Source organism: Homo sapiens, chromosome 1 (assembly GCF_000001405.40).
Source record: "Homo sapiens chromosome 1, GRCh38.p14 Primary Assembly".
Taxonomy (NCBI): domain Eukaryota; kingdom Metazoa; phylum Chordata; class Mammalia; order Primates; family Hominidae; genus Homo; species Homo sapiens.
In genome coordinates this window covers 205,372,933-205,388,567 of record NC_000001.11, presented here as the reverse complement: position 1 = coordinate 205,388,567, position 15,635 = coordinate 205,372,933, and the positions used below count along the sequence as shown (strand labels likewise).

Genomic DNA, 15,635 nt, shown 5'->3' with positions numbered 1-15,635 from the left:
CTAAGCCTCTACTTCCTCCTCTGTAAAACGGTGACTGTAATAATTACCTCCTAGAGTTGTTAGAAAGATTAAGTGAATTGGCCAGGCATGGTGGCTCACACTTGTAATCCCTGCACTTTGGGAGGCCGAGGCAGTTGGATCACAAGGTCAGGAGATCAAGGCCATCCTGGTGAAACCCCGTCTCTACTAAAAATACAAAAGAATTATCTGGGTGTTGTGGCTCGCGCCTGTAATCCCAGCTACTCAGGAGGCTGAGGCAGGAGAATCACTTGAACCTGGGAGGCGGCGATTGCAGTGAGCCGAGATCACGCCACTGCACGCCATCCTGGCAACAGAGCAAGACTCTGTCACAAAAAAAAAAAAAAGAAAGAAAGATTAAGTGAATTGAAGTATGTTAAATGCCCAAGATAATAGATGTTCAGAACATGGTATTTCTAATTCCCTCCACTATCATGCTGCAGTACCATGTGGTGATTATGGGCAGGGACTGTGGGGCTCTTAGCTCCATTGCCTCACCAGCTGTGTAAGCATGGGCAAGCTACTTAAACGCTCCATGCCTCAGGGTTCTCATCTGTAAAATGGGCACAATAAAAGCACCTTTCACATAGGGTGGTTTTGAGAATGAAATTAGTTTACTGATGTAAAATGCTTAGAATGGTGCCTGGTGCACAGGGAATGCCATATACGTGTTAGCTAGTGTTGTAGTGAGACAGTCACAGTTTGTTGTATTGGCATATCTCTGACTTACTACTTTTATAACTAACTACAGCTGTGGCCAGCAATATGCTTCAGGCCTTGGGAGTGTGGTGGAATTTTCGGACTTGAATGCCGAGGTATAGCAAAGAGGGTGGAAAAGCAGAGGGGGCCACATATTCCCCAGCTCTGGGCTCCAAATGCTTTGCTAAAACAGCCATCTTTGCAGATTCTAGCTCTGGGCCTAAGGAGAAGAGAGCAAAGATATTATGTGTCTCCTGGGTGCCATTTACCCTCACTGAGCCACTGCTTTAATAAACACCAATATTTTTTAGCTCCACTGTAAATGTTGTTTATAGTGAAAATCATATTATAACAGCATTAATGGAATTTTTTAAAAGATGAAATATAAATCAACTGCAAACACACCACTTGATGCAAAAACTGATTTTATTTTTTCAATTTACCTCTAGTTTTTGTTTACATGCATATCTAGTATATGTTCACACAGTAGACATCACTGTTTATGTACAATTTATACCGTTTATTAACACTAATCAATAATGCTTTTCCCTGTTATATGGCCTTTATAATAATAATTATTATTGATAGCTGCACAGTCAGGTAGATAGGCCATAATTACTCCATTTTTGAAAATGACAATGTCCACCTTCTACATACTGCAGGAGAACTCTACATATGAATGATAGCAAAGAAAACAAATTGTAAAAGAAAAGGAAATAAAAGGCCTAAATCTCCTTATGGCACAAGGGGAGTATTTGATTGCCTAGGAGCTGTGAAATTCTATCATTTGATTTTGCAATGAACTTCTGCCCCAAATGCTTTATTTCACGTATCTATTTTTAAATTTAAGCGAATTAAAAAGAAGTTGCATGTGATGGATATGTAGAGGTTCATGATACTGTTGTCTATTTTTGTATATGCTTAAAATTTTCCATAAGTAAAAAAAGAATTTGCTTATAAATGATTTTTCCAATACCCTTGGAAATAGCTTGAAATATCTCTTGGTGAGCATGCCAACACTAACCCACATAGCACCTTTGTGGGAAATCTCTTCCTCAAGAGCCTTTGCTTCCCTGTTCCTGGAAGGGTATGTGGTAAGGGTATGTAAATCTACAGTGTCTACACGGGGAAAGGTGCTGTTTGCATGTGGCACTCTTGCATGGTGCACAACTTCCCACATATGCAAAGGCCTTGCTTGGGTATCGCTAAACCACTGTTGAGAACATGTTTAAGAAGGGGGGCACAGGGGCCGGGCGCGGTGGCTCAGGCCTGTAATCCCAGCACTTTGGGAGGCTGAGGCGGGCGGATCACAAGGTCAGGAGATCGAGACCATCCTGGCTAACACAGTGAAACCCCACCTCTACTAAAAAATATAAAAAATTAGCCAGGCATCGTGGCAGGTGCCTGTAGTCCCAGCTACTCGAGAGGCTGAGGCAGGAGAATGGCGTGAACCTGGGAGGCGCAGCTTGCAGTAAGCCGAGATCGCGCCACTGCACTCCAGCCTGGGTGACAGAACGAGACTCCATCTCAAAAAAAAAAAAGAAGGGGGCACAGGGAGTACAGGGGAAGGGGAGGAGGCTGTAGCTGTTCCATCATTGGTGACCTGTACTGGGTAGATGGTGACTAGCAGTGCGTGATGCTACAGCAAGCCATGCCCTCCCCACCCCACCCTGCGCTGGGACCCTTGGGCCTGCCATAAGTCATAGTCCACACTCACTGGAGGGGTCCACTCTATTGTTGTGTCCTGACCACATCCTTGCTAAGACCCAGGCTCTTCTTTCTCCTAGTAGCTCCGTGATGAACACAAATGCCCTTCTCCTGTCGGACCCTCCAGACACTCCAGTCCAGTCTACCTTGGGATTGCGGTCATTACTCTCCTCTTGACTTTCCTTGTGCTTCTTGTTCTGTCCTGGTCTCTGTCAGTCCTTTCCCTGTCTGACGCGAGTCCCAGCTCCTTATACCACTCCTGGGAATTCTCCAGTTCCTGACTCACTGTCTGCAGCCTGCAGGCTCTGACAGCACCGCAGGTGTCAGAAGGCGCCTCTTATGTTCAAGGGTCCTGGGCTTCCAGCATGGGAGTAGACGGCAAGTTACCAGTGGCCCCAAATGTTAGATACTGTGGCTTGATTACAGAGAAATAGGAGACAGCTCCATGAGATCCAACAGATGGTCTGATTAGGGAAGAAGGAAGCCAGTGCAGAACACTTACAAAATAACCATGCTTGATAGTGAGCTGTTTTGGACAGGGACGGTTTGGCAGGCCCTTCTGAAATCTTCACAGCCGGCGTCAGGCCTGGCACTCAGCAGCACGCAACAAATAATTGTTAAATGAATAAATAAAACATAAGGGCTGGACACAGTGGCTCACACCTGTAATCCCAGCACTTTGGGAGGCTGAGGCGGGTGGATTGCTTGAGGCCAGGTGTTTGAGACCAGCCTAGCCAACATGACAAAACCCCGTCTCTGCTAAAAATATTATACAAAAATTAGCCAGGCGCGGCGAAGAGTGCCTGTAATCTCAGCTACTTAGAAGGCTGAGGCAGGAGAATTACTTGAACCCAGGAGGCAGAGGTTACAGTTAGCCAAGATCGTGCCACTACACTCCAGCCTGGGTGACTCTGTCTCCAAAAACAAACAAACAAAACACTACAGTACAAAATGTGTATATTAGGGCTGAAGAAATATAGCATAGAAGAGTGATCTGAGTGGATGAGAGTAATCAAGATTTCCTATGGGGGAAATTACTTTTAGAAACTGAAGGGTAGAGAGAAGTCTAGTGTAGTAGTCCAAGCACGTAGTTCTCCACTGATAATACTGTGTAGCCTCTAGCAAGTTACTTAACCTTTCTGTGTCTCAGACTCATTTCCAGAACAGAATAGTGCTTACTAGATAGGGGTGGAGTGCTCCCTCGCAGGTGGTGCTCACTGGAAGGCCTCAGTGAGTTAATGGGTAAATGGGGCTTAGCGCTTGATCAATAGAATTAGCAACATCATCTGACATCCCATCTTCACATTCCTGGGAGTCCCCTACAATTGCTCCTACTTCTCTTACAAAGCAACATTTCGTTCTCCTAAATTATTTTCTAGTCCTTGTTCATAGTCAACTTGCTTTGTTAAAATTACTTTATTCTTTGTAGAAAATGATGCATGCTCATAAAAAAGAGCTCCAAGCAATAAAGTACAAATAAAGAAGCAAAATAGAGCTGATATTTAAGAACAGAGTGCTGTTCTCATCACGTGGCCCTAGTCCCTTGTATGTGTATTGTTCTCATGCGAGTCACTGAAGTAAAATATTACTCCATGGAACTTAGATGTTTTTGCTAATTCTTGAATAAAGACAAACAAGTTTGTATTTTAAAGTACCAAACTACCTAATGTGCCAAGAACTTTTGGCATATTATGTGACTTTTTCTAGAATAAAAACCAAGGTTATTTGTATAAGACATTGGAAACAAATTCCTCTTGACATTTTCTTTCTGTTTATCAGTGGCCTGAGGCTTCCACCACTAAACGCAAAGCTGTAGATACCTATTGCTTGGATTATAAGCCTTCCAAGGGAAGAAGGTAATGATGTTTTTTAGCATATGTGGAAATTGATATTATTGTATTCTGTAGCTCTGGAAAAAACTAATTATTCAGATTTCTGTGAAGGGTTTAGCCTGAAAAGAATCTGTTGAGAAAGGAGAAAGATTTGTAATATCCAACAATTTCAAAGCCAAAGTTACTAGTTCATTGTTCATATTTAGAGATAAGGAAATAGGCCCGGGAGAACTGGGAAGACAGGGCAAAAGTCGCAGTGGACTGAGATCACAGCCCAAGTCTCCTGATGTGTAGCCATTTGGAAACATTTCTTTCTATTTGTGCCTTGGAAGGTGGGCAAGAGGCAAAAAAAAAAAAAAAAATGTAAAGGATATAAGGCCGGGTGCGGTGGCTCTTGCCTGTAATCCCAGCACTTTGGGAGGCTGAGGCAGATGGATTGCCTGAGGTCAGGAGTTCGAGACCAGTCTGGCCAACATGGTGAAACCCCATCTCTACTAAAAACACAAAAAAATTAGCCAGACGTGGTGGCATGCGCCTGTAATCCCAGCTACTCGGGAGGCTGAGGCAGGGGAATTGCTTGAACCAGGGAGGCGGAGCTTGCTGTGAGCCGAGATCATGCCACTGCACTCCAGCCTGGGTGACAGAGCGAGACTCTGCCTCAAAAAAAAAAAAGAAAAAAGAAAAAAAAAAAAGGATATAAATACACAGTTAAATAGGATAAATAAGACCTAGGGTTCAATAGGTCAGAAGAGTGGCTTTAGTTAACAATAACCTATTGAACACTTCAAAATAGCTAGAAGAGAATAATTTAAACATTCCTAGCATAAAGAGAAGATAAATATTTAAGGTGGTGGATATCCTAATTACCCTGATTTGATCTTTACACATTATATGAAGGTATCAGAATAGCACATGTTGGCTGGGCACAGTGGCTCATGCCTGTAATCCCAGCATTTTGGGAGGCTGAGGTAGGAGGATCACTTGAGGCCAGGAGTTTGAGATCAGCTTAAGCAAAATAGTGAGATCCTGTCTCTACAGAAAAATTTAAAAATTAGCCAGGCATGGTGGTATGTGCCTACAGTCCCAGTTACCTGGGAGGCTGACGCAGAAGGATTAGTTGAGCCCAGGAGTTCAAGGCTGCAATGCAGTGAGCTATGATCACGCCACTGCATTCCAGCCTGGGCAACAGAGTGAGACCCTGTCTCAAAAAAATATGTATGTAATATAAAATTACATATACCCTCAAATATGTAAATCTATTATGTATCAATTTTTAAAAACGAATAAAAAGAGTAAGTAGTTCAAATAAAAGCTCAAGACAGGCAATTGTATTAGTCAGAAAGTAAAGCTTTCTGGAGAGTTTCCTAACTTCTGAATAAACTTCAGCAGGTTTTGCAGAATTAGGCTAGTGGAAACATAAGGCTCTTGCAAAAAAATTTCAGAAAGTACTCTTGCCTTTTTAAGTGCAAAATAAGCAGATTGCAAAGGCGCTTTTCCTCTCCACCCTGAAAGGTGGTGTTTGTACTTGAGAAGGGAGGAAGGAGGGGGCCTGAGTACTGAGGCTTCCCATCCACTTATACAATTTCCCAGCGAGGACTTGGGGATCTGCAAGGCCTGTGCCAAGTCAGGCTTTATGCCGGCATTGAGAAGTGATACACAAGTGGGTGGAAACAATGAAGAAATGTTTTGTGGGATTTGAGAGACCTCATATCCCCCAATACGCTGTTAGTATCACTTGTTGAAATTAGAGACTGGGCACAGTGGCTCACGCCTGTAATCCCAGCACTTTGGGAGGCTGAGGTGGGAGGATCCCTTGAGCCCAGGAGTTTGAGACCAGCCTGGGCAACATGGTGAGCCCTCGTCTCTACAAAAAAATTTATTTTTTAATTTTTTTGGAGACAGGGTCTCATTCTGCCACCCAGGCTGGAGTGCAGTGGCACAATCATAGTACACTGCAGCCTCAAACTCCTCGGCTCAACTGATTCTCCCATCTCAGCCTCCATGCCCAGCTAATTTTTATATTTTTTGTAGAGACAGGGTTTCGAACTCCTGGGCTCAAGCAGTCTGCCTGCCTTGGCCTCCCAAAGTGCTGGAATTACAGGTGTGAACCACCACACCTGGCCTACGAAATTTTTTTTTTTAATTAGCTGGGGGTGGTGGCATGTACCTGTGGTCCGAGCTACTCGAGAGGCAGACGTGGGAGGATGTCTTGAGCCCAGGAGGTTAAGGCTGCAGTGAGCTGTGATTGTACCACTGCACTCCAGCCTGGACAACAGAACAAGATCCTGTCTTAAAAGAAAAAAAAAGAAATTAGCCTAGGTTTTTAGTAAGGAGAGGCTACCTCTAAAGCCCCACCATGACTGCACCCTTGGGCTTCAAGACCCACACACTTTAAGGGGCTACTCAAGTGCACCACAGCTGTCCACAATCCTAAGAGCCACTGATGTTTTCACAGGTGGGCTGCAAGAGCACCAAGCACCAGAATCACATATGGGACTATCACCAAAGAGAGAGACTACTGCGCGGAAGACCAGACTATCGAGAGCTGGAGAGAAGAAGGTTTCCCAGTGGGCTTGAAGCTTGCTGTGCTTGGTATTTTCATCATTGTGGTGTTTGTCTACCTGACTGTGGAAAATAAGTCGCTGTTTGGTTAAGTAATTTAGGAGCAAAGCAATGCTCCAAGCGAGGCCTCCTGCTTCAGGAAAGAACCAAAACACTACCCTGAAGGGCCAGCCTAGCCTGCAGCCCTCCCTTGCAGGGAGCCTTCCCTTGCACTGTGCTGCTCTCACAGATCGGTGTCTGGGCTCAGCCAGGTGGAAGGAACCTGCCTAACCAGGCACCTGTGTTAAGAGCATGATGGTTAGGAAATCCCCCAAGTCATGTCAACTCTCATTAAAGGTGCTTCCATATTTGAGCAGGCGTCAAACAAGGAAACTGTCTGGCGTTTTTCTTTCTAAGTATGGTGACAAGCCATAGGTCGCATTTTATTCACTCCTCCAATTGTATAGCCAATTCTGGGAAACAGCTAATTTACAGCAGAAGAATGTGTCTAGTTTAGTAAACACAAAGAAATGTCCAACACCATGAAAACAATTTAGAACAGGATAGCATTTTTGCCTTTGAAACTTAGCAAGGTTCTAAAAAATTACCATCTGACAAAGGAATGTAATAACCATGGCCTCAGGGACCAGGCAGAGCTGTGTAGGCACCCGGCTCCTCTCTTTATCGGCCCTGTGACCTTGGGTGAGTTAGTTGTCCTCCTGGAGTTTCAATTTCAGCTTTCAAAAATAGGGGTAGAATAGGCCTCTTAGGGTGATGAAGAATTTGAGGAAATAATGTGAGTAGTGGACTTAGTGTGGTCCACACCTGACTTGTAGCAAGCACTCAATAAATGCTTAAGCAATGTTACACTTTGGCACAATATGGGAGGAGCTAATTCTAGGTACAAAAAAGCACCAAAGGCTGGGCATGGTGGCTCACGCCTGTAATCCCAGCACTTTGGGAGGCCGAAGTGGGTGGATCACTTGAGGTCGGGAGTTCAAGACCAGCCTGGCCAACATGGCGAAACCTTGTCTCTACTAAAAATACAAAAAATTAGCCGGGTGTGGTGGCGCATGCCTGTAGTCCCAGCTACTCGGGAGGCTGAGTCAGGAGAATCACTTGAACCCAGGAGGCAGAGGTTGCAGTAAGCAGAGATCGTGCCACTGCACTTCAGCCTGGGCAACAGCCCGGGCTCATGATCCACCTGCCTCGGCCTCCCAAAGTGCTGGGATTACAGGCATGAGCCACCATGCCCAGCCTGAAAATGCTTATTTAAAAATTTTTTTAAAAAATAGCTTTATTGTGGAAGGCTGAGATAGGGGAATTGCTTGAGTCCAGGAGTTCAAGGCTGCAGTGAGTTGTGATCACACTACTTCACTCCAGCCTGGGCCCTATCTCTTAAAATATATATATGTAGAGAGAGAGATAAATAATTTATATGCCATATAATTCACCTACTGAGGGTTACAGTTCAATGATTTTTAGTATATTCATAGGGTTATGCAATCATTCCCGCAATAAATTTTAGAATATTTTCATCATTCCAAAAAGAAATTCTTAAGGTGCTCATTTTAATGGTAAACAAAAAAGGACACAAATTTGTTGTACCATATTATCACAACTGCACAACACTGGAAGAAAATATGTCAAAATGTTAAGAGTACTTCGGTGACTGGAGCTCTAATTTTTCCCCCTATTTCTACTTTTTAAATATTTTTAAAGATTTCTGTAAGTAGTGTGTATCAGTTTGCTAATGAGAGAATATAAATATTAATTTTTAAAAATTGCATTCTGTCTGGATGTGGTGGCTCATGCTTGTAATCCCAGCACTTTGGGAGGCTGAGGTGGGAGGATCGCTTGAGGCCAGGGGTTTGAGACCAGCCTGGACAACATAGCAAGATCCTGCCTATAAAACAAAAAAAGAAGAAGAAATTTTTGAAAAACTGCATACTGTATTACAGTTTGAATGCAAGGATCATAAAACTCTAGTAAGACTGGCTTAAACAGAGATTTATTTTTATCTCATAAAAAGAAGTCTAGGGCCAGGCGCTGTGGCTCAACCCTGTAATTCCAGCACTTTGGGAGGCCTAGGTGGGAGGATCACCTGAGGTTGGAAGTTCAAGACCAGCCTGACCAACATGGACAAACCGTGTCTCTACTAAAAATACAAAATTAGCCAGGCGTGGTGGCACATGCCTGTAATCCCAGCTACTCGGGAGGCTGAGGCAGGAGAATCACTTGAACCCGAGAGGTGGAGGTTGCGGTGAGCCAAGATCATGCCATTGCACTACAGCCTGAGTTTTTTGAAACTCCGTCTCAAAAACAAAAAAAAGTCTAGAGTTTAAGATGTCCAATATTGTTTAAAATGACCAAAAATGTAATATAATTCTGATTCAAACAAACCAGCTGCAGAAAAAATTATGATCAAGGAGATGCGAAACTGACCCGATTCTTGGTGGTATTCAGAGAGGTTTGGTCTGACTGAGCTGCAGCAGCTGTCCGACTCCCAGGGGAAAAAGCGAAAGGCTGAGAGAATCCCAGACACTGGCCTGACACGTTGGAACTGCCGAAATTCCATGAAGGATCCAGATAATGGCCATCACATCATCATTTAAGGCAGGACGTAAGGACTAACCATGTCTCTTCTCCAGCTCTACATATTTCATCCTGAGCAGCAAGGGAGGCTGAGAAAGTGGGCGCTGGAGCCTTGGCAGCCTCTGTGTTAGAAGAGGGAGAAGAGGATTGGTCATAGGAGTAAGCAGAGCCAACCTACAGTGGTGGCCACATGCACTTAAAAAAGAAAACTTCTGTTGTGTTGTTTGGTTTGTTTGTTTTGAGACAGGGTCTCACTCTATTACCCAGGCTGGAGTGTGGTGGATCACCGCAACCTCCACCTCCCGGGCTCAAGTGAACCTCCCACCTCAGCCTCCCGAGTAGCTGGGACTACAGGCATGTGCCACCATATCTGGCTAATTTTTTTTGTATTTTTTATAGAGATGGGGTTTCACCGTGTTGCCCAGGCTGGTTCCGAACTCCTGGGCTCATGTGATCCTCCCAAAGTGCTGGGTTTACAGGCGTGAGCCACTGCGCTCCACCAATACTTCCGTTCTTAATAAAACCAAACATGATAAAAAATAAAACTTCTAGAAAGTTTCCTCCATTATTTTCAACTTTTCCCAGTTCTTTTATGTTAGAATTCTGGAATCAGTTTAAAGAGACTGCACAGACAATTACTTTTGTGTCTGACCATTCAAGGTGTGAGTTCCCAACCAGCAGTATCAGCATCTCAGGCTCCGTCCCAACTACTGAGCCAGAATCTGCATTTCAACAGGATCCCAGGTGATTCCTACCCAAATTAAAGTTTGGGAAGCATTGTGGTGGCCCATCCCTATCAGATGCTGTGATATAGTGATATAATAAAAAATTTATATTTTGTCTCTGCCCCGGTTCCTGGCACACAGTTCCTAAAACTGTTGGAATCTCCTGAATGGTAAGTGTCTTTTTTATGCTATTTGACATGACTGGTGGCTGGCGGCCACTAGATAGCTTCAGGATGGGGACAGGTCACCAGAAAGATCAAGGCAGGATTCTAGGGTTAGAACTTTCAGTCCCATCCCCCCAAACTCCAGGAAAGGGAGATGAACTGAAGGTTAAGTCAATCATCAATGGCCAGTGATTTAATCAATCTTGCCTCCATAATGAAGCCGCTATAAAAACCCAGAAGGAGTGGGTTCAGAAGCAGGTTCTGGGTAGCTGAACCTGTGGAGATGCCTGGAGGGTGGAGTGCTAGAAACAGCGCGGAGCTCCGTGCCCCTTCCCACATGCTTCACCCTGTGCATCTCTTCCATCTGAATGCTCATCTGCACCCTTTATTATTAAACCAATACATGTAAGGGAAGTGTTTCCCTTAGTTTTGTGAACCACCCTGGGAAATTAATCTAACCCAAGGAGAGGGTCCTAGGAACCTTGATTTATAGTCGGTTGTTCAGAAGCACAGGTCACAATGTAGGGTTCTTAACTGGCATTGGAAGTGGGGGGCAGTCTTCTGAGACTGAGCCCCGAACCTGTGGGATCTGATGCTGTGCCTAGGCAGACAGTGTTGGAATTGAATTAAATTATAGGGCATCCAGTTGGTGTCTGATGGAGAATTTGGTGCCAGAATTGCTTGGTGTGTGGGGAAAAAACCCACACATCTGGTGTCAGAACTGTTGTGGTGGGTGGGAGTAGAAAAAAACACTTTGGTTGGCCAGGCATGGTGGCTTACACCTATAATCCCAACACTCTGGGAGGCTGAGGCGGGCAGATCGCTTGAGCTGAGGAGTTTGAGACCAGCCTAAGCAACATAGCAAAACCCTGTCTCTACAAAAAATACAAAAATTATCCATGTATGGTGGTGCATGCCTGTAGCCTCAGCTACTTGGGTGACTGAGGTGGGAGGATCGTTGAACCCTGGAGGTCGAGGATATAGTGAGCCATGGTTTCGATACTACACTCCAGCCTGGGTGACAAAGTGAGACCCTGTCTCAAAAAAACAAAACAACAACAACAAAAAACCCCAAAACAAACAAATAAATGAAAAAACACTTTTGTTTTTTTCCTATCTCTAATAGATCCATATATAGGAGGAGTCTCTAAAACTCAGGCCAGAGGACCAATGAGTTAAGCCTATCAGGAACCTAAGTGCAGTGGGGACGTGTTCCCTCTTGGAGAAAAACTTGTCTTAAAAGAAGAGACTCAAGGCATACAAGTTTGGTCCCAGGCAATGTGTCACCATCTATTCAACAGTCGATTAGCACCTCTTGTTCCCTTGCAATAAAATGACAAATAAAACCAGCCAGGCACAGTGACTCACATCTGTAATCCTAGCGCTTTGGTAGGCAGAGGTGGGAGGATCACTTGAGGCTGGGAGTTGAAGACCAACCTAAGCAACATAGCAAGACTGTCTCTACGAAAAAAATAAAGAAGAAGAAGAAAAGAAAAATTAGCTACTCAGGAGGCTGAGCCCAGAGGATCACTTGGGCCCAGGATTTCAAGGAGGCTGCAGTGAGCTATTATTGTGCCACTGCACTCCCCCTGGGTGACAGAGCAAGACCCTGTCTCTAAAAAAAAATTTTTTTAATCAGTATAGGATATAGTTCCTGCTCTTAAGGAACACACAGTCTGACAGGAGAGATGGAAAAGTCAACAGATAGTACGGTGTTAAGTGACATCCTTTTGATGATGGCATAGGGTACCCTGGAAGCACAAAAGAGCAACCTTCTCCTATATTGGGAATAGACAGGGGTAGCTTCCTAGAAAAAGTGGTATCACAGCTGAAGCCAGAAGGATGAGTAGGACTCAGTCCAAATAAGGGAAAAGTGGGCGAGGCTAAAGGAAAAGTCTGCCAGGCGAGGGAGCAGTATTTACAAAGACTAGTGTGTGAGAGACTGCATGGCAGGTTTAGGAAGCCACAAGAGAGTGAAGCGGGTGGGGAGAGATGCGGCTGGAAAAGAAGGTGGGATTCAGATCATAGAGGGTCTTGGGACCATAGGAAGGAAAATATGGTCTATGTTAAAGTTTGAACTTTAATGGAAGCCAATGCATAAGAAAAGTAACTCTTCTAAGGACTAACAGTGTCTGCCTCCCTGAATGTCTTCCGTGTCAGTTGCCACAGCCCCCTGAATGAGAGCTGGAGAGACAGGCTTCTAAGGAGGGGCCAAACCAAGGAGCTGTGTGCTGAATCCCTTGAGGGACTTGGGACAGGGGAGAGGCAGGTCAGTTTGCAGTGTATTGGCAGCAACAGATGTGGGCAGCCCAATGTGGGTGCCTTTGATACGGGCAGTGAATGGGGCAATGCTACTGGAGCAAAAGCAGCAGAGAAGGAATAATGAGGTGCTGGCTGGTGGCTGAGATAGCTTTGTGGGGCTCCCAGGGAGAACAGAATTGTGGCTGCAATTGCCCAGTGCAAATAGATAGGACAGGGGAATCGGGGGTGAAGAGGAACAGTTAAAACCTCTCTGCTTAGAAAACTCTAAGAATGCACTTGCCCTGTTTTTTGAGTATTTGTGATGTGACCCAAGTGTTTTATGATTCTTTTTTTTTTTTTTTTTTGAAACAGAGTCTCACTCTGTCACCCAGGCTGGAGTGCAGTGGCACGATCTCAGCTCACTGCAACCTCCGCCTCCCAGGTTCAAGTGATTCTCCTGCCTCAGCCTCCCAAGTAGCTGGGATTACAGGAACGCACCACCGCACCCAGCTGATTTTTGTATTTTTAGTAGAGATATGGTTTCTCCATGTTGCCCTGGCTGGTCTTGAACTCTTGACCTCAGGTGATCCACCTGCCTCGGCCTTCCAAAGTGCTGGGATTACAGGTGTGAGCCACTGCACCCAGTTCATGATCTTCTTTTTAAGGCTCACCTTTCCCTGGTAATTTGGGGAAAATAGGTCCAGGGAGTGGAGGCTGACTGACATCCCAGGATCACTGCCATCAAGCTGACCTCCGCAGAGAGCTGATGCAGGCCAGGCCAATTCTCCCACTGCTGCCCTGTCCCTACATTCTCCACAATACAGTGACACAGGCTGTGTAACAGGCTTTTCTGACATTTTAGATGGAAGGGAAAATGTATATGAAATTGAAATGTGGGGAGGGAAGAACCTTAACACCAAACGCTAAATGAATCATTCCCAGAATCCTAGGAAAATGAAAAGTGCTAACCCCATTAAAAGTGCATTGAAGTGGCTAGCTTTGCTTTCTGCTTCAGGATTCATCGTTTTCCAAGGGCCCCACCTTTAATCCTTCAGAGTGATTCTCCACCCTGAGACCCGCTTACAGGGCACAGTTATACCTCCCTCCCAGTGACTCACAATGATTCAGACGTAGTGCTGGTCTCAGACACAATCCTGCCTGAATCTATATAAAGAAAGAGAAAAATCTCCCTCACTCCACAACAGCATACTATGCCAAGATTTCTCCTGCTTCCAACGTGCAGAGTGTATTTGTTTGTTTTCAAATCTTATGCTTTGTTCTGTTTCTGCAGTTTCTAGAGCACAGCTGGGGACCTGGTACGTAAAAAACCGGCCTTACCTCAGTGCCTTCTCCAACAGCAGAGTCATTGACCCACCCCTATCCCAGCTATACAAGGACCCATGATCTTGAGATTTTCTTGACCTTGGGCCAAATCAAATTCCAAGGCAGGGCTCTAGTCTCAGCAATAGGAAGAGAATTAGTCTAGAGACTGATTTCTTCTTGTCAAGAGCAAACTCCTTGCCAGCGAGGTGTTTTATTTTTTCAATTTCAATGACTCGTCTGCCTCCCCTACAAATCTTGGAGCTCCTTGTGTCGAGGACTGTATCTTAATCATCTCTGGATCTCCTCTCGAAGTGATGTCTGTGCTACCTCCAGAAAGAGCCCATTTCCATTTTGAGCAGTTTCCAACTCAAATAGACATTTGAAACCACAAAACCAATACCCCAGATTTTGCTTCCTGTTTATCCCTGTGATGAGAAGTCCCTAAAATGAGCAAACTGCTGTTGAAAGGCATTCCCAATCAACCTCATTATGCAGTGTTTAGCCTTCTAACACACTGTCATTCCCACGGCATCCAAAGTCCTCATTCCTATAAATGTCACTATTTACAGCAGGGTCAATCCTGCCACCCAGCAAAGGTGTTCTCCATCCCATGGCCAAACAATGAAGTGGAGCCCTGGCTGGAGAAACAGGATTGAGCTAATTGCATGTCACACAGACACACTGGATTTCACAGGCTTGTGTTCTACAGATGGGGCGATGAGGCCAATTCTATTGCATGCATGCTGTTTAAATCTCTACCCAGTCAATATTCAGGGTGGCAGATGGAAGAAATTCTTAAAGGCTCTATTTCTGTTCTTCGACATTCAAAGAAATACTGTGCTACCACCTCTTAAAAATAATTGGTTAAGTACCAAGTTATTTTCATTGCCACAGTCATAAATAAAGAAGTGCTAGACCACAATGTTTATATCTATAGTAGTTGATAATCTTACATGCAAGAAAAATGATTGTTGATGTTTAGGAGGTTGTTTTTCTTGCTTTTTTTCCTCCCTTCCTTTCCTCCCCTACCCCTACCTCCCAGCCAAGAAAAGTCTTGTTGATTAGAGTAACAAGAAGGGGCTGATTTGGAAGTAAAATTAAACTTGACTCTTTCCTGAAGCAAGAACGTAATCTCAAGACTAAAATAAGAAAGTGCCTAACCAACTTGGCATTTTATTCTGAGGAAGATTCCCGATAGAAACTTGGATGGAAGAAAATGAAAGGGAAGCCAATTAGCCTGTGTTAAGCAATGCTAACTTTTAACAAGCTTGCTCAAGAAGAAATGAACCTGTTAAGAGGGTCATCCAGGGCTTCCTTGCCGCCTCGGTGCACAGCTCAATCATGCTTCCTTCTTGTTCATTTTGACAAAGCAGGTGAGTGATGAGCAGGAAAAAATTATGAGGAGGTGTTGGAGCAACTCGCTAATCAGCACTGCTACAAGATCGCCAGCATTTACAGGACCGCATTCACTGAGAAATGATGGCTGCTATGAATGTTCTCGTTTGTGGGCGTCACCTAAACACAACCCTGCCTAATGAATCAATCTCTGGAGAGCCAGAGGGGGCTATTCTAGGTACTGCAGATGTGGATGAGGACAGCTCTCCTCATTTCCTGGCAACAGGAGACTGGTGTGACAACTCTAATTCCTGGAGAGCCATTGGTAAAATCCTCCTTGGGTTCAAGAGTTAGCTAAAAATATGTGGAGGGGAAAGGATGAGTTTGTCCTTTTTTTTTTTTTTTTTTTTTTTTTTTTTTAGTTTATTGCTACTGGGTTTTTTTAAATTTGTCTC

At 44.5% G+C, this 15,635-nt stretch overlaps 1 protein-coding gene and 2 long non-coding RNA genes across 11 annotated transcripts in view, besides 1 other annotated feature; 2 read left to right on the top strand and 1 right to left on the bottom strand.

The window, feature by feature from the left end:
• Positions 1 to 7,190, top strand: part of LEMD1 (LEM domain containing 1) — a 68,589-nt gene extending 61,399 nt beyond the window's left edge. For 6 of the 9 annotated variants that reach the window (NR_037583.2, NM_001199051.2, XM_011510163.3 and 3 more), the window contains 2 exons: positions 4,204 to 4,280; positions 6,712 to 7,190. Coding sequence is in view for 8 of the 9 variants with exons in the window: in NM_001199051.2 (NP_001185980.1) it covers positions 4,204 to 4,280; positions 6,712 to 6,910 (276 nt within the window). In the remaining variant the exon portion in view is untranslated. The remainder of the gene's footprint in view (positions 1 to 4,203; positions 4,281 to 6,711) is intronic. The other 3 variants (XM_047434586.1, NM_001199052.2, NM_001001552.5) reach the window with 1 other exon arrangement.
• Positions 1,128 to 15,316, bottom strand: LEMD1-AS1 (LEMD1 antisense RNA 1). The gene is made up of 4 exons (NR_038425.1): positions 15,134 to 15,316; positions 9,243 to 9,514; positions 6,424 to 6,541; positions 1,128 to 3,335 (listed from the first exon to the last, which is right to left on the bottom strand). It is a non-coding gene; the product is annotated as an LEMD1 antisense RNA 1 (long non-coding RNA).
• LOC105371698 (uncharacterized) lies at positions 9,918 to 11,658 on the top strand. Its single transcript, XR_922462.2, has 3 exons — positions 9,918 to 10,136; positions 10,259 to 10,287; positions 11,408 to 11,658. It is a non-coding gene; the product is annotated as an uncharacterized LOC105371698 (long non-coding RNA).
• Positions 12,053 to 12,347: a silencer, noted in NCBI's record as "tiled region #658; HepG2 Repressive non-DNase unmatched - State 12:CtcfO, and K562 Repressive DNase unmatched - State 20:ReprD". NCBI's record gives its function as "represses a minimal TATA promoter and a strong SV40 promoter by Sharpr-MPRA in HepG2 and K562 cells {active_cell/tissue: HepG2 | K562}" and the evidence as "EXISTENCE:reporter gene assay evidence [ECO:0000049][PMID:27701403]".
• Positions 15,317 to 15,635: the final 319 nt, after the last annotated feature.